The 17,688-nt window shown below is 48.2% G+C and overlaps 5 annotated features.

The window, feature by feature from the left end:
- Positions 5,694-5,753: a silencer, noted in NCBI's record as "silent region_4566". NCBI's record gives its function as "represses an Ori minimal core promoter by ATAC-STARR-seq in GM12878 lymphoblastoid cells {active_cell/tissue: GM12878}" and the evidence as "EXISTENCE:reporter gene assay evidence [ECO:0000049][PMID:35858748]".
- Positions 5,694-5,856: a biological region, named in NCBI's record as "ReSE screen-validated silencer GRCh37_chr12:57094539-57094693".
- Positions 5,702-5,856: a silencer, noted in NCBI's record as "fragment chr12:57094539-57094693 (GRCh37/hg19 assembly coordinates)". NCBI's record gives its function as "represses an EF-1alpha promoter that drives an FKBP-Casp9 reporter gene in an ReSE screen in phorbol 12-myristate 13-acetate-treated (for megakaryocytic differentiation) K562 erythroleukemia cells {active_cell/tissue: K562(+PMA)}" and the evidence as "EXISTENCE:reporter gene assay evidence [ECO:0000049][PMID:32094911]".
- Positions 16,339-16,864: an enhancer, noted in NCBI's record as "H3K27ac-H3K4me1 hESC enhancer chr12:57083531-57084056 (GRCh37/hg19 assembly coordinates)". NCBI's record gives its function as "activates a minimal SCP1, AML or CMV promoter by ChIP-STARR-seq in naive H9 embryonic stem cells {active_cell/tissue: H9 hESC(naive)}" and the evidence as "EXISTENCE:reporter gene assay evidence [ECO:0000049][PMID:30033119]".
- Positions 17,391-17,440: an enhancer, noted in NCBI's record as "active region_6515". NCBI's record gives its function as "activates an Ori minimal core promoter by ATAC-STARR-seq in GM12878 lymphoblastoid cells {active_cell/tissue: GM12878}" and the evidence as "EXISTENCE:reporter gene assay evidence [ECO:0000049][PMID:35858748]".

Below are 17,688 nucleotides of genomic sequence, written 5' to 3'. Positions count from 1 at the left end.
GACAGAGCGAGACTCTGTCTCAAAAAAAAAAAACAAAATTAGCCAGGTGTGGTTGCCTATGCCCCTAATCCCAGCTACTTCGGAGGCTGAGGCAGGAGAGTCCTTTGATCCCGGGAGGCTGAGGTTGCAGTGAGCCAAGATCATGCCATTGAACACCAGCCTGGATGACAAGAGCAAAACTCCAAAACTCCATCTCAAAAAAAAACAGTATGTGTGTGTGTATAAAATATTATTTTATATATATGTGTATATATATATATTATTCAGCCTTAAAAAGGAAAGAAATTCTGTCACATGCTGAAACATAAATTGTTGGCATTATGCCAAATGAAATGAGCCATCCACAAAAGGGCAAATATTGTATGATTCCTCTTTTTTTTTTTTTTTTTTTTTTTGAGATGGAGTCTCCCTCTGTCACTCAGGCTGGAGTGTAGTGGCGCAATCTCAGCTCACTGCAACCTCTGCCTCCCAGGTTCAAGCGATTCACCTCCCGAGTAGCTGGGACTACAGACCTGTGCCACCATGCCCAGCTAATTTTTGCATTTTTAGTAGAGATGGGGCTTCACCATGTTGGCCAGGCTGGTCTCAAACTCCTGACCTCAGGTGATCCGCCCGCCTTGGCCTCCCAAAGTGCTGGGATTACAGGCATGAGCCACCATGCCCGACCCCTGAATGTTTTCTTAAATGAATATTTACTAATCTTCCAGACATCACCTTTTGTTGGAACTCCAGAGTTATAAATGGCCCTCACCATACCGATGCTTTCTAACTGAGCTCCTATCTACCCTGAACACAAGAGATCCTAATAGTTAGGCAGGAATATCATCGCCCTTATTCATCCTGAAGAAGTTACAGAAAGCTGGGCGCACTGGCTCATGCCTGCAATCTCACCACTTTGGAAAGCCGAGGTGGGTGGATCACCTGAGGTCAGGAGTTTGAGACCACCCTGGCCAACATGGAGAATCCCCGTCTCTACTAAAAATATAAAAATGAGCCGGGTGTAGTGGCGCATGCTTGTAATCCCAGCTACTCGGGAGGTTGAGGCAGGAGAATCACTTGAACTCAGGAGGCGGAGGTTGGAGTGAGCCAAGATCGTGCCACTGGACTCAAGCCTGGGCAACAGAGCAAGACTCTGCTTAAAATTAAAAGAAAAAAAAAAAAGGCCAGGCACGGTGGCTCACGCCTGTAATCCCAGCACTTTGGGAGGCCAAGGCAGGTGGATCACAAAGTCAGGAGTTCAAGACCAGCCTGGCCAACATAGTGAAAGCCCGTGTCTACTAAAAATACAAAAAAATTAGCTAGGCATGGTTGGGGGCACCTGTAATCCCAGATACTCTGGAGGCTGAGGCAGGAGAATTGCTTCAACCCAGGAGGCGGAGGTTGCAGTGAGCGGAGATTGTGCCACTGCACTCCAGCCTGGGTGAAAGAGTGAGACTCCGTCTCAAAAAAAAAAAAAGATTAAGGGTTCTCTTATAAAAGGGATGGGGTAAATGTCAGAAGTGTTTAAACCAGGCCAGACACATTGGCTCATGCTTGTCATCGGTTCATGCCTGTAATCCCAGCACTTTGGGAGGTCCAGGCGAATGGATCACCTGAGGTCAAAAGTTAGAGAGCAGCCTGGCCAACATGGCAAAACCCTGTCTCTACTAAAAATACAAACATTAGCCAGTTGTGGTAGCACACGCCTGTAATCCCAGCTACTCCGGAGGCTGAGGCAGGAGAATCGCTGGAACCCAGGAGGCTGAGGTTGCAATGAGCCGAGATCACCCTGCTGCACTCCAGCCTGGGAGACAGAGTAAGACTCCATCTCGAAAAACAAACAAACAAAAGAAACAGGTTGCAGTAAAGGAGCCGGCTAAATCCCACCAAAACCAAGATGGCCACCAGAGTGACTTCTGGTCCTCCTCACTGCTACACTCCCACCAGCCTGACCAACATGGTGAAATACCTTCTCTACAAAAATACAATTAGCCAGGCATGATGGCAGGTGCCTGTAATCCCAGCTACTCAGGAGGCTGATGGGGGAGAATCTCTTGAACCCAGGAGGTGGAGGTTGCAGTGAGCTGAGATCACACCATTGCACTCCAGCCTGGGTGACAGAGTGGGACCTCCATCTCAAAAAAACAGACAAACAGGCCAGGCATGGTGGCTCATGCCTGTAATCCCAGCACTTTGGGAGGCTGAGGCAGGTGGATCACCTGAGGTCAGGAGTTCGAGACCAGCCTGACCAACATGGAGAAACCCCGTCTCTACTAAAAATACAAAAAAAAAAAAAAAAAATTAGCCAGGCTTGGTGATGCATGCCTGTAGTCCCAGCTACTCTGGAGGCTAAGGCAGAAGAATTGCTTGAACCCAGGAAGCAGAGGTTGCAGTGAGCTGAGATTGCACCACTGCACTCCAAACTGGGCGACAAAGCGAGACTCCTCAAAAAAAAAAAAAAAAAAAATTAGCCAGACGTTGTGGCGTGCTCCTGTCGTCCTGGCTACTAGGGAGGCTGAGGCAGAAGAACTGCTTGAACCGGGGAGGCAGAGATTGCAGTCAGCCGAGATCCTGCCACTGCACTCCAGCCTGGGCAACAGAGCAAGAATCCATCTCAAAAACAAACAAACAAACAAAAAAAACTAGACTGTCAGTTAATCTCTTCAGAATTGGGTGGACCTGGTAGGAGAAAGATCTAGTTATGTTCGTACAGATTATTTACAGATGCAAATTTTCCCCCACAAAAGATGGCTTGGCAGGGACTTTATTTATTTTTATTAATTTTTTTTTTAGAGGAAGTCTCTCTCTGTTGCCCAGGCTGGAGTGCAGTGGCGCGATCTCAGCTCACGGCAACCTCCGCTTCCTGGGTTCAAGTGATTCTTCTGCCTCAGCCTCCTGAGTAGCTGGGATTATAGGCACACACCACCACACCTGGCTAATTTTTGTATTTTTAGTAGAGACGGGGTTTCACCATGTTAGGCTGGTCTCGAGCTCCTGACCTCAGGATCTGCCCACCTCGGCCTCCCAAAGTGCTGGGATTACAGGCGTGAGCCACCACACCAAGCCTTATTTATTTATTTTTATTTTTTGAGACAGTCTCATTCTTGCCCAGGCTGGAGTGCAGTGGTGCAATCTTGGCTTATTGCAAGCTCTGCCTCCTGGGTTCACGCCATTCTCCTGCCTCAGCCTCCTGAGTAGCTGGGACTACAGGCGCCTGCCACCACGCCTGGCTAATTTTTTTTTTTTTTTTTTTTTGTATTTTTAGTAGAGACGGGGTTTCACCGTGTTAGCAAGGATGGTCTCGATCTCCTGACCTCGTGATCTGCCCGCCTCGGCCTCCCAAAGTGGTGGGATTACAGGCGTGAGCCACCGCACCTGGCCTATTTATTTATATTTAATTTAATTATTTTTATAGAGACAGAGTCTGTCTTTGTTGCTCAGGCTGGTCTCTAACTCCTGACTTCAAGCAATACTCCTGCCTCTGCCTCCCAGTACTGGGATTACAGGCAAGAGCCACTGTGCCCACCATTTCAAAATATAGCAAAGAAACATATTTTGGGGTAAAATATTTTGATTTCCTTTTTTTTATCTTTTATGTGATGTTATACTAGCATCATGTTGGAATTTTGCTAGTCTCTTTTGTCCTTCCCCCCGCCCCTTTTTTTTTTGAGAGAGTCTCACTCTGTTGCCCAGGCTAAAGTGCAGTGGTTCGATTTCAGCTCACAGCAACCTGGGTCGCCCGGGTTCAAGAGATTCTCCTGCCTCAGTCTCCTGAGTAGCGGGGATTACAGGTGTGCACTACCACGCCCAGCTGATTTTTGTATTTTTAGTAGAGACAGGGTTTCACCATGTTGGCCAGGCTGGTCTCAAACCCCTGATCGGCCTGCCTTGACCTCCCAAAGAGCTAGGATTACAGGCTTGAGCCACCGCACCCCGCCTCGTTTGTCAGTCTTAAAATCTCTTGTTTTATTTTATTCATTTTATTTATTTTATTTTTTTGAGACAGACTCTCACTCTGTCCCTTGGGCTGGAGTGCAGTGGCAGGATCTTGACTCACTGCAACCTCCATCTCCCTGGTTCAAGCAATTCTCCTGCCTCAGCCTCCTGAGTAGCTGGGATTACAGACACACGCCACCACAGCCCGCTAACATTTGTATTTTTAGTAGAGACGGGGTTTTGCTATGTTGGCCAGGCTAGTCTCGAACTCTTTTTGTTGTTGTTGTTTCTGTTTTTCTGAGACGGAGTTTCGCTCTTGTTGCCCAGGCTGGCGTGCGGTAGTGTGATCTCTGTTCACTGCAACCTCCGCCTCCCAGATTCAAGCGATTCTTCTGTCTCAGCCTCCCAAGTAGCTGGGATTACAGACATGCACTACCACACCCAGCTAATTTTTATTTTATTTTTTTGTATTTTTTTGTATTTTTAGTAGAGACGGGGTTTCATCATGTTGGCCAGGCTGGTCTCGAACTCCTGACCTCAGGTGATCCACCTGACTCGGCCTCCCAAAGTGCTGGGATTACAAGCATGAGCCATAGTGCCCAGCCAAGATCTCTGTTTTAATGTTAATGCTGGTCAGTTGTGCCAGAACTCCAAAGGGAAGAGAGTATAATGAGGCATATTCAATGCCTCCCATTCCCCACATTGCCTGAACTACTTTTTCAGGAGTTTGGGGGTCCTCTTGGCCAAATGGGGATCCATTCAGTCAGTTGGGGGGCTTAAAATTTTATATTTTTATTTATTTATTTATTTATTTAGACAGAGTTTCGCTCTTGTTGCCAAGCCTGGAGTTCAATGGCCCAATCTCGGCTCACCACAACCTCTGCCTCTCGGGTTCAAGTGATTCTCTTGTCTCAGCCTCCGGAGTAGCTGGGACTACAGGCGCACGCCACCACACCAGGCTAATTTTTGTATTTTTAGTAAAGACGGGGTTTCACCATGTTGGCCAGGATGGTCTCGATCTCCTGACCTCGTGATCCACCCGCCTCGGCCTGGGATGACAGGCGTGAGCCACCGTGCCCGGTCTAAAATTTTATTTTCTACAGTTCTAACACCCAGAAGTGAGATTGCTGGATTTTTGATTTCTGAATTAAGCACAGAGTTTCCTGACCTGTGTCCCAAGAATTGCCTTTACAGTCCCACTGATTTGTTGATCTAGTTCTTAGAAATCTTAATTAAGACCCGGTGCGATGGCTCATGCCTACAATCCCAGTACTTTGGGATGCCAAGGAGGGTGGATCACCTGAGGTCAGGGGTTCGAGACCAGCCTGCCCAACATGGTGAAACCCCTGTCTCTACTAAAAATACAAATATTAGCTGGGTGTGGTGGCGGGCACCTGTAATCCCAGCTACTTGGGAGGCTGAGGCTGGAAGGCTGAGGCTGGAGAATCGCTTGAACCCAGGAGGCGGAGGTTGCAGTGACCGGAGACCACGAATTACACTCCAGCTTGGGTGACGAGTGAAACTCCGTCTCAAAAAAAAAAAAAAGAAATATTCATTAAATTAGATCTTTCTCTGCCTTTTCATTTGGTATAAATCTGGCTTAATGAAGCAGACACTGCCTACATGCATTTAATGACTCTAAGAAAGCAGCAACTCCCAAAGGACACAAATTAAGGATGAAAGTTTCTAACTGCTCTTGGCCAACTGTATGATGGAGAGTTGTGTCAGGAAGTGAAGAAATTTCCTCTTTTGTTATTTAAAAGGGAGACTAAGAGACTGTGGTTAGCAATTCATAATAGCCTGTGTCTCCAGCCCATGAGAGTCACTTGGGGCCGGCGCGGTGGCTCATGCCTGTAATAGCAGCACTTTTGGAGGCTGAGGCGGGCGGATCACTTGAGGTCAGGAGCTTGAGACCAGCCTGGCCAATATGGTGAATCCTTGTCTCTACTAAAAAAACAAAAATTAGCCGAGCCTGGTGTCAGGCACCTGTAATCTCAGCTACTCTGAAGGCTGAGGCAAGAGAATCGCTTGAAGCCGGGAGGCAGAGGTTGCAGCAAGCCGAGATCGCGTCATTGCACACCCGCCTGGGCGACAAAGCAAAACTCCCTCTCAAAAAAAAAAAAAAAAACAAAAGGCGGGGGGCAGTGGCTCACGCCTGTAATCCCAGCACTTTGGGAGGCCGAGGCAGGCGGATCACGAGGTCAGGAGATCCAGACCATCCTGGCTAACACAGTGAAACCCCGTCTCTACTAAAAATACAAAAAATTAGCCGGGCGTGGTGGCAGGTGCCTGTAGTCCCAGCTACTCAGGAGGCTGAGGCAGGAGAATGGCGTGAACCCGGGAGGCGGAGCTTGCAGTGAGCCAAGATGGCGCCACTGCACTCCAGCCTGGGCAATACAGCGAGACTCCATCTCAAAAAAAAAAAAAAAAAAAAGAATAATTTTTGACCTTGATTTACCAAGCGTGGTGGTGCGCCCCTGTAATCCCAGCTACTCCGGAGGCTGAGGCAGGAGAATCACTTGAACCCGGGAGGCGGAGGTTGCAGTGAGCCGAGATCGGCCATTGAACTCCAGCCTGGGCAACAAGAGCGAAACTCCTTTTCAAAAAAAAAATTAGCCAGGTGTGATGGCGCCCGCCTGTAGTCCCACCTACTTGGGAGGCTGGGGCGGGAGGATCACTCAAGCCCAGAGGTCAAGGCTATGGTGAGCAGAAATCGTGCCACTGCACTCCAGCCCAGGTGACAGAGTGAAACCCTGTCTCAAAAAGATAAAATAAATAAGGCCGGGTGCCGTGGCTCACCTCTGTAATCCCAGCACTTTGGGAGGCCGAGGCAGGTGGATCACCTTAGGCCAGGAGTTCGAGACCAACTTGGCCAAGATGATGAAACCCTGTCTCTACTAAAAATACAAAAATTAGCCAGGTGTGGCGGTGCGCACCTGTACTCACAGCTACTTGGGAGGTTCAGGCAGGAGAATCGCTTGAACCCATGAGGTGGAGGTTGCAGTGAGCCAAGATGGCACCACTGCACTCCATCCTGGGTGACAGAGTGAGACCCTGTCTCAAAAAATAAATAACAAAGAAACAGAAGACAGCCTTTTTAAGAAAAAGGAATGGCTGGTCAACTATGTCAAAAACTTCTGTCAGAGGCCTTTGAAACAGAGCAACTCCATCTTGAATAGGAGCAGGGTAAAATGAGGCTTAGACCTCCTGGGCTGCATTGCCAGGATGTCAGGCATTCTATGTCACAGGATGAAATAGGAGGTTGGCCCAAGGTACAGGTCACAAAGACTTTGCTGATAAAACCAGCATGTGGTAAAGAAGCTGGCCAAAAACCACCAAAACGAAGATGGTGATGAAAAATGACCCCCTCGTCATCCTCACTGTTCATTATATATGCTTATAATTCATTAGCATGCCAAAAGACACACCCACCAGCACCATGAAGGTTTACAGATGTCATGGCAAAGTCAGGAAGTTACCCAATAAGTCTAAAAAGGGGAGGAGCCTTCAGTTCAGGGAATTGCCATGCCTTTCCCAGAAAGCTCATAAATAATCCACCCCTTATTTAGCATATAATCAATAAATAATCATAAAAGTAGTCAACCAGTAGCCCTCGGGGCTGCTCTGGCTATGAAGTAGCCATTCTTTTATTTCTTTATTTCCTAATAAACTTGCTTTCACTTTACCATATGGATGTGTCCAAATTCTTTCTTGCTTGAGGCTCAAGAACCCTCTCCTGGGGTCTGAATAGGGATCCCTCTGTGGTAACACTTCAAAGAGACCAAGAACAGGTTGGGTGCAGTGGCTCATGCCTGTAATCCCAGCACTTTGGGACACCAAGGCGGGTGGATCACTTGAGGTCAGGAGTTCGAGACCAGCCTGGCCAACATGGTGAAACCTCGTCTCTACTAAAAATACAACAATTAGCTCAGCATGGTGGCACACACCTGTAATCCCATCTACACAGGAGGCTGAGACAGAAGAATCACTTGAACCCAGAACCCAGGAGGCGGAGGATGCAGTGAACCACTGTATTCCAGCCTGGGTAACAACAGCTAAACTCTGTCTCAAAAAAAAAAAAAAAAGAACAGAGACTGAAAAAAACGGCCTTTTTTTTTTTTTTTTTTTTGACACAGTGTCTCTGTCACCCAAGCTGGAGTACATGGCATGATCTCAGCTCATTTCCACCTTGACCTCCTGGGCTCAAGTGATCCACCCACCTCAGCCTCCTAAGTAGCTAGGACTGCACCACACACGGCTAACTGTTTTTGTTTTTGTTTTTTTTGTGAAACGGAGTCTCACTCTGTTGCCCAGGCTGGAGTGCAGTGGTGCGATCTCAGCTCACTGCAACCTCCACCTCCTGGTTTCAAGCTATTCTCCTGCCTCAGCCTCCCAAGTAGTTGGGATTACAGATGAGAGTCACCATGCCCAGCTAATTTTTTTTTTTTTTTTTGAGACGGAGTCTCACTCTGTTGCCCAGGCTGGAGTGCTGGAGTGCAGTGGCATGATCTCAGCTCACTGCAACCTCTGCCTCCCAGGGTCAGGCAATTCTTCTGTCTCAGCCTCCCAAGTAGCTGGGACTACAGGCGCCCGCCACCACGCCCAGCTAATTTTTGTATTTTTAGTAGAGACAAGGTTTCACCATATTGGTCAGGCTGGTCTCGAACTCCTGACCTCAGGTGATCTGCCCACCTCGGCCTCCCAAAGTGCTGGGATTACAGGCGTGAGCCACCACACCAGGCCACATGGCTAATTTTGGGGGGGTGGGGGTTTGGTAGAGACAGGTTTTCACCATGTTGCCCAGGCTGATCTTGAACTCCTGGGCTCAGGCGATCTGCCTACCCAAAATAATAGGATTATAGGCATGGGCCACAGTGCCCAGCCTGAAGAAAAGGGCCTTTGAATTTGACAATTGAGTGGCTTTCAGTGTATCCACTTTGGTAGCTTGGGGGAGTGGGAACCAATGAATGGACAGCAAAGAAGTACCTTTAGTGAGAATAGTTTATGGAGTAATCTTAGAAATGTGGAAAAAGTTTAACAGACCACAGCATAAAAAGGAGGCCTGAGGTGGCCAGGCGCGGTGGCTCACACCTGTAATCCCAGCATTTTAGGAGCGAGGTGGGCGGATCATGAGGTGAGGAGATTGAGACCATCCTGGCTAACACAGTGAAACCCCGTCTCTACTAAAAGTACAAAAAGTTTGCCGGGCATTGTGGCGGGCACCTGTAGTCCCAGCTACTCGGGAGGCTGAGGCAGGAGAATGGCCTGAACCCGGGAGGCAGAGCTTGCAGTGAGCCAAGATCGCGCCACTGTACTCTAGCCTGGGCGACAGAGCGAGACTCCATCTCAAAAAAAAAAAAAAGGAGGCCTGAGGAAAGGTTTGTTTTGTCTTGCTTTTTAGAATGGAACACCTAAGCATATTTGTAGACAAAATGGAAAGATTAAGGGAATAAACTGAAGATTCATACTCCTGGAAAAGGCCAGAGACAATGACATTAAGAACACATGCAGATGGCCAGGCACGGTGGCTCACACTGTAATCCCAGCATTTTGGGAGGCTGAGGTGGGCAGATCACCTGAGGTCAGGAGTTCGAGACCAGCCTGCCCAACATGTCAAAACCCTGTCTCTACTAAAAATACAAAAAATTAGCCAGGTGTGGTGGTGCATGCCTATAATCCCAGCTATGCGGGAGGCTAAGGCAGAAGAACTGCTTGAATGTGAGAGGCGGAGGTTGCAGCAAGCTGAGATCGTGCCACTGCACTCCAGCCTGGACAACAAGAGCAAAACTCCGTCTCAAAAAAAGAGAACACACGCAGAAAAGGTCATCCTGTGCTTGAAGTAGGACACTTTTTAAAAAAATTTATTATTATTATTTTTTTAATTGAGACAAGATTTGAATCTATTGTCCAGGCTGAAGGGCAGTGTCATGATCTCGGCTCCCTGCAACCTCCAGAAGGACACTTCTTTAGAGATGGAAGCAAAACAAGATTTCACAAGTTAGATACTACATGGGAGTTAGATATTAACTTCCAGGTTGTAGTACCCAACAAACCTGCAAACGAAAAGCTTAAGTGATCTGAGTTCCTTTGCTGTAAAATATATTTCTGTCATGGATCTGGCACCTAATTCATTCATTCAACAAATACATATTGAGTGGGCAGGCACAGTGGCTCAAGCCTGTAATCCCAGCACTTTGGGAGGCCGAGATAGATGGATCACTTGAACCCAGGAGTTGGAGACCAGCCTGAGCAACATGGCAAAACCCCATCTCTACAAAATACTTTTTTAAATTAGCTGGGTGTGGTAGTGCACACCTGTAGTATCAGCTACTTGGGAGACTGAGGTGGGAGGATCACCTGAGCCTGGGGAGGTCAAGGCTGCAGTGAGCCATAATCACATCACTACACTCCAGGCTGAGCAACAGAGGATGTGTCTCAAAAAAAATGTATATATATGTGTGTGTGTGTGTGTGTATGTATGTATGTATATTCTTTTTGTGTGTGTATACACACAGATACAGAGCAAGAGAGAGAGAGCACGAGAGCCAGAATCAAGTTTAAAAGCCCTTCCCTTAGACTTTCATCTCCTTCCTTCTTCCTATGCCTTCTCTTTGTTTCCTTTGGCTTTTATCCTCTCCTGCCTCATACCAGACCTTGTTCTCCCTGTTATCCTGTCTTCTTAAACCCCTCCTCTCTTTCCACTGGCTTCTTTTCTCACCCATCAAACATGATAAAACATCCCATTCCTAAACAAGCAACAAAAAAAACCCTTTCCTCAACTGCTAAATATAAACTATATTAAATTATATTTCTACTCCTCCATCTGTCCCTTTCAGTCTCAGCTAATGGTGTCGCATTTCACCCAGTCTCCCAAACTAGAAACCTCCTTATCTGATTCCTTTTCTAACTGGTCTTCAAAGTTAGAAATACATCAAAATTCTGGGTTAGCTTTATCTGTCCACTCCTACTGCCACTGCTTTAGTTCTGGGTCTAATCTCTTGCCTAAACTACCATGACTGGTTTGTCCATAGTTTTTCTCCATTACAGCTAAATTATTAATATATTTAACAAACATTTTTGAGCATCTACTATGTGCCAGGGACTCAGAATAGTGAGAAAAGCATGACGGCAGTGGTCTCACTCAAGACATGTGTCCACCAGGCCAGGCACAGTGACTCATGTCTGTAATCCCAGCATCACCATATACCACATCTGGCTAATTTTTTATTTTTTGTAGTGACAGGCTCTCCCTATGTAGTCCAGGCTGGTCTCAAACTCCTGGGCTCAAGCAAACCTCCCATCTTGGCCCCCTAAGTACTGGGATCACAGGAATGAGCCACCCTGCCCACTCAATGGTCTTATTTTCTATAATATAAACTTCAGATGTAAACATAAGATAAGGTGATGTTTGGGGTAGAACAGTGGTCCTCAAAGTTTTTGGCACCAGAAATGGGTTTTGTGCAAGACAAGTTTTTCCATGGTGAGGGAATAGTTTTGGAATGAAACCGTTCCATCAAGCATTAGATTCTCGAAGTGGCCAGGCGCAGTGGCTCACGCCTGTCATCTTAGCACTTTGGGAGGCCAAGGCTGGTGGATCACCTGAGGTTGGGAGTACAAGACCAGCCTGGCCAACATCACAAAACCCCATCTCTACTAAAAATACAAAAATTAGCCGGGCACAGCAGGGCGCAGTGGCTCACGCCCGTAATCCCAGCACTTTGGGAGGCCGAGGCAGGCAGATCACGAAGTAGAGGTGATCGAGACCATCCTGGCTAACACAGTGAAACCCCATCTCTACTAAAAATACAAAAATTAGCCAGACATGGTGGCAGGCACCTGTAGTCCCAGCTACTAGGGAGGCTGAGGAAGGAGAATGGCGTCAACCTGGGAGGCGAAGCTTGCAGTGAGCTGAGATCGCACCACTGCACTCCAGCCTGGTGATAGAGCGACACTCCGTCTAAAAAAAATAAATAAAAAATTAGCCGGGCATGGTGGCAAGCACCTGTAATCCCAGCTACTCAGGAGGCTGAGGCAGGAGAATCGCTTGAACCCAGGAGGCGGAGGTTGCAGTGAGCCAAGATCTCGCCACGGCACTCCACCCTGGGTGACAGAGATCCTGTATCAAAAAAAAAAAAAAAAAAAAAGATTCTCATAAGGCGAGCACAACCTAGATCCCTTGAATGTGCAGTTCACAATAGGGTTCGCATACCTATGAGAATCTAATGCCATCACTGATCTGACAGGAGGTAGAGCTCAGGCAGTAATGCTGGCTCATGGAGCGTTCATCTCTTGCTGTGTGGCTGCTTTCCTAATAGGCCATGGACCAGTACCTATCCACAGCCTGGGGATTGCCACAGCCTGGAGGTTGGAGACGTGGGGTAGAAGATCTTTTTTTTTTTTTTGGAGACAGAGTCCTGCTCTGTTGCCCAGACTGACAGTGCAACAGCACGATCTCAGCTCACTGCAACCTACACCTCCCAGGTTCAAGTAATTCTCCTGCCTTAGCCTCCCAAGTAGCTGGAACTACAGGCATGTATCACCATGCCCAGCTAATTTTTTTAATTTTTTTTTTGAGATGGAGTTTTACTCCTCTATCACCTAGGCTGGAGTGCAATCGTGTGATCTCGGCTCACTGCAACCTCTGCTGCCTGGGTCCAAGCAATTCTCCTGTCTCAGCCTCCTGAGTAGCTGGGATTCCAGGCACCTGCCACTGCACCCAGCTAATTTTTGTATTTTTAGTACAGGTGAGGTTTCACCATCTTGCGCAGGCTGGTCTTGAACTCCTGACCTCATGATCCACCTGCCTTGGCCTCCCTAAGTGCTGGGATTACAGGTGTGAGCCACTGCGCCGGGCCTAATTTTTGTATTTTTAGGAAAAACAGGTTTTGCCATGTTGGCCAGGCTGTCTCAAACTCCTGACCTCAAGTGATCCACCCACCTCAGCCTCCCAAAGTCCCGGGTTTACAGGCATAAGCCACCGTGCCCAGCAGAAGGCCATTTATATTTTTATTTTTTATATTATTTACTTATTTTTTGAGACAGAGTCTCGCTCTGTTGCCCAGGCTGGAGTGCAGTGGTGCAATCTTGGCTCACTGCAACTCCACCTCCCGGGTTCAAGTGACTCTCCTGCCTCAGCCTCCCGAGTAGCTGGGACTACAGGCATGGGCCACGACGCCCAGCTAATTTCTTGTATTTTTAGTAGAGATGGGGTTTCACCATGTTAGCCAGGATGGTCTCGATCTCCTGACCTTGTGATCCACCCGCCTCAGCCTCCCAAAGTGCTGGGATTACAGGCTTCAGCCACTGCGCCCGGCCACCATTTTAAAAATACTTCATTCAATGCATGTCATTTTTACAGGTAAATACCTTCTGACCTTTTTTTTTTGAGACAGACTCTCACTCTGTTGCCCAGGCTGGAGTGCAGTGGTGCTATTTCGGCTCACTGCAACCTCTGCCTCCCGGCTTCAAGTGGTTCTCCTGCCTCTGCCTCCTGAGTAGCTGGGACTACAGGCACGCGCCACCACGCCTGGCTAATTTTTGTATTTTTAGTAGAGATGGGGTTTTACCATATTGGCCAGGCTGGTCTTGAACTCCTGACCTTGTGATCCACCCGCCTCGGTCTCCCAAAGTGCTGGGATTACAGCGCCCAGCGGGTAAATAGCTTTTTTTTTTTTTTTTTTTTTTTTTTGAGACGGAGTCTCGCTGCCGCCCAGGCTGGAGTGCAGTGGTGCCATCTTGGCTCACTGCAACCTCCACCTCCCAGGTTCAAGCGATTCTCCTGCCTCAGCCTCCCAAGTAGCTGGAATTACAGGCGCCTGCCACCACGCCCAGCTAATTTTTGTATTTTTAGTAGAGACAAGGTTTCACCATGTTGGCCAGGCTGGTCTCGAACTCCTGACTTCAGGTGATCTGCCCACCTTGGCCTCCCAAAGTGCTGGAATTACAGGCAGGAGCCACCACACCCGGCCAGGTTTTTGTTTTTGTTTCTGTTTTTTGTTTTGTTTTGAGACGGAGTCTCGCTCTGTCGCCCAGGCTGAAGTGCAGTGGCGTGATCTCGGCTCACTGCAAGCTCCGTCTCCTGGGTCTACACCATTCTCCTGCCTCAGCCTCCCGAGTAGTTGGGACTACAGGCGAAGCCACCACGCCTGGCTAATTTTTTGTATTTTTAGTAGAGATGGGGTTTCACCATGTTAGCCAGGATGGTCTCAATCTCCTGACCTCGTGATCCACCCGCCTCGGCCTCCCAAAGTGCTGGGCTTACAGGCATGAGCCACCACACCTGGCCTGTTTCTGTTTTGAGACAGAGTCTCGCTCTGTCATTTCGGCTGGAGTACAGTGGCAAGTGCAGTGGTGCATTCTTGGCTCACTGCAACCTCTGCCTCCTGGGTGCAAGCCATTCTCCTGCCTCAGCCTCCCAAATAGCTGGGACTGCAGGCATGTACCACCACACCCAGCTAATTTTTGTATTTTTAGTAAATATGAGGTTTCACCATGTTGGCCAGGCTGGTCTTGACTCCTGACCTCAGATGATCTACCTGCCTCAGCCTCCCAAAGTGCTGGGATTACAGGTGTGAATCACTGCTCATGGCCACCCAGGCAGGTTTTGAACTCCTGGCCTCAAGACATCCTCCCACCTTGGCCTCCCAAAATGTTGGCATTACAGGCATGAGCCACCATGCTTGGCCTAAAACATAAGTAATTTTAAAAATGATTTTATTTGCTGGGCGCAGTGGCTCACGTCTGTAATCCCAGCACTTTGGGAGGCCGAGGCAGGCAGATCACCTGAGGTCAGGAGTTCAAGACCAGCCTGGTGAACATGGTGAAACCCCGTCTCTACTAAAAAGAGATCGTGCCACTGCATTCCAGCCTGGGCGACAGAGACTCCATCTAAAAAAAAAAAAAATTTATTTTTTCAAAGACAGGGTCTCCCTACGTTGCCCAGGCTGGACTTGAACTCTTGGGCTTAAGCAATCCTCCCACCTCAGCCTCTCAAGTAGCTGGGACTACAGGTGGCTACTAGTAATGTTTATATTAAGCTGGGTCATAATATCTCTTTTAAGGTTTATGGCCAATTTTTTTTTTTTTTTGAGACAGAGTCTCGTCACCCAGGCTGGAGTGCAGTGGGGAGATCTCGGCTCACTGCCACCTCCACCTCACAGGTTCTGCCACAGCCTCCCAAGTAGCTGGGATTACAAGCACCCACCACCAAGCCTGGCTAATTTTTGTATTTTTAGTAGAGACAGGGTTTCACCGTCTTGGCCAGGCTGGTCTTGAACTCCTGACCTCATGATCCACCCATCTCAGCCTCCCAAAGTGCTGGGATTACAGGCGTGAGCCACGCGTGCCCCGTCTTTTTTTTTTTTTTTTTTTTTTTTTGAGATGGAGTTTCGCTCTTGTCACCCAGGCTGGAGTGCAATGGCATGATCTCGGCTCACTGCAACCTCTGCCGCCCAGGTTCAAGCAATTCTGCCTCCGCCTCCCAAGTAGCTGGGATTACAGGCGCCTGCCACCACGCCCAGCTAATTTTTGTATTTTTAGTAGAGATGGGGTTTTGCCATGTTGGCCAGGCTGGTCTTGAGCTCCTGACCTCAGGTGATCCACCTGCCTTGGCCTCCCAAAGTGCTGGGATTACAGGCATGAGACACCGCGCCCGGCCCAATTTTTATTCCCTATACCCAGGAGACTTTTCTTTTTTTGAGACAGAGTTTTGCTCTTGTCGCCCAGGCTGTAGTGCAATGGCATGATCTCGGCTCACTGCAACCTCCACCTCCTGGGTTCAAGCAATTCTCCTGCCTCAGCCTCCCTGGTAGCTGGGATTCCAGGCATGCGCCACCACGCCCGGCTAATTTTGTGTTTTTTAGTAGAGATGGGGTTTCTCCATGTTGGTCAGGCTGGTCTCGAACTCCCAACCTCAGGTGATTCGCCCGCCTCGGCCTCCCAAAATGCTGGGATTACAGGCGTGAGCCACCGCGCCCGGCCTCCAGGAGACATTTTTACCATTTTGCACCCTTTCCCTTTGACTTCCTAATACAAAATTAACAACTTCTAAGTTGTTATCTTATTAGAAAGCCCCCTTATAAAATAGGATTGTTCTCACCTTCAATTAACAATTTTTTTAATTGCTCAAATCAGTCTATAAAGTTCTCTTTTGCAATTTGTGACTCTGGACATATATTTAAATTCAGTCGTTACAGGAGGATCAATTGGACCCAGAAGTCAAGACTGCAGTGACCTGTGATACCACTACTGCACTCCAGCCTGAGTTAAAGTGAGACCCTGTCTCAAAAACATAAAAAAAAAAAAAAATTTAGCCTGACATTCAGTGCCACCATTATTTGGTTGTGACCTATTTTTTCTTTTCTTTTTTTTTTTTTTTTTTTTTTTTTTACACAGAGTCTCACTGTCACCAAGCTGGAGTACAGTGGTACAATCTAGACTCGCTGCAACCTGCGTCTTCCGGGTTCAAGAGATTCTCCCACCTAAGACTCCTGAGTACCTGGGATTATAGGCACACCACGCCCAGCTAATTTTTGTATTTTTAGTAGAGATGGGGTTTTGCCATGTTGGCCAGTCTGGTCTTGAACTCCTGACCTCGTGATCCGCCCGCCTCGGCCTCCCAAAGTATTGGGATTACAGGCGTCAGCTACTGCTCCTGGCCAAATATTTTGTATTTTTAGTAGGGACGGGGGTTTCACCATGTTAGCCAAGCTGGTCTTGAACTCCTGATCTCCAGTAATCCACTGGCCTCGGCCTCCCAAAGTGTTGGGATTACAGGCGTGAACCAGTGCGCCAAGTTAACTTCCTTTTTTTTTTTTTTTTTTTTTTGAGACCCAGACTCACTCTGTCGCCCAGGCTGAAGTGCAGTGGCGCGATCTCGGCTCACTGCAACCTCCGCCTCCCGGGTTCAAGCGATTCTCCTGTCTCGCTCTCCCGAGTAGCTGGGACTAGAGGCGTGTGCCACCACACCCGGCTGATTTTTTTTTATTTTTAGTAGAGACGGGGTTTCACCATGTTAGCCAGGATGGGCTCAATCTCCTGACCTCGTGATCTGCCCGCCTCTGCCTCCCGAAGTGCTGGGATTACAGGCGTGAGCCACCGCGCCCGGCCCCTTCCCTTTTTTTTTTTTTTTTTGACACAGGGTCTCACTCTGTCGCCCAAGTTGGAGTGCTCACTGCAACCTCCGCCTCCCGGGTTCGGGGTTCGAGCTATCCTCCCGCCTCATACTAGCTAGTATTTGGCATTACAGGCAAGTGCCACCACGCCCTGCTAATTAGTATTTTTAGTAGAGATGGGGTTTCACCATGTTGGGTGGGCTGGTCCTGAACTCCTGACCTCAGGTGATCCGCCCACCGAACTTCCCAAAGTACTGGGATTATAGGCGTGAGCCACGGGCGCCCCGCCCAATTTCCCTTTTTAATGGCATTTGAGCTAGGGTCCAGGTTTCGTAGCTCCCACTACCTGTCCTGCACAACACAGACACTAAATACCTTAGTGCTTATTATGAAGCCCCGTTCTTCAGAAAGGTTTTATAGCACTTTCGTTAAACCTCCTTCCTGTTCAAAATGCAGCGCACTAGAGTATTTTTCCCCAATCCACCGTTAAGCGGCTTCTTCTTAAGCAGGACTGTTTTGGGTCTCTTGGTTGCTACCCCTACTACACCCTACTAATATGTTGCACAAAGCGACGGGGAACCCCTTCTCCCCCAAACGATGTGCGTGGAAACACACAATGTCCTACTCTCTCCATTCCCAGAAACCTAGACTCTCCCCTCAA

This window comes from Homo sapiens, chromosome 12 (assembly GCF_000001405.40).
Source record: "Homo sapiens chromosome 12, GRCh38.p14 Primary Assembly".
Lineage (NCBI taxonomy): Eukaryota > Metazoa > Chordata > Mammalia > Primates > Hominidae > Homo > Homo sapiens.
Note: the sequence above shows the minus strand (reverse complement) of the source record. Positions and strands in the feature narration are given on the sequence as shown.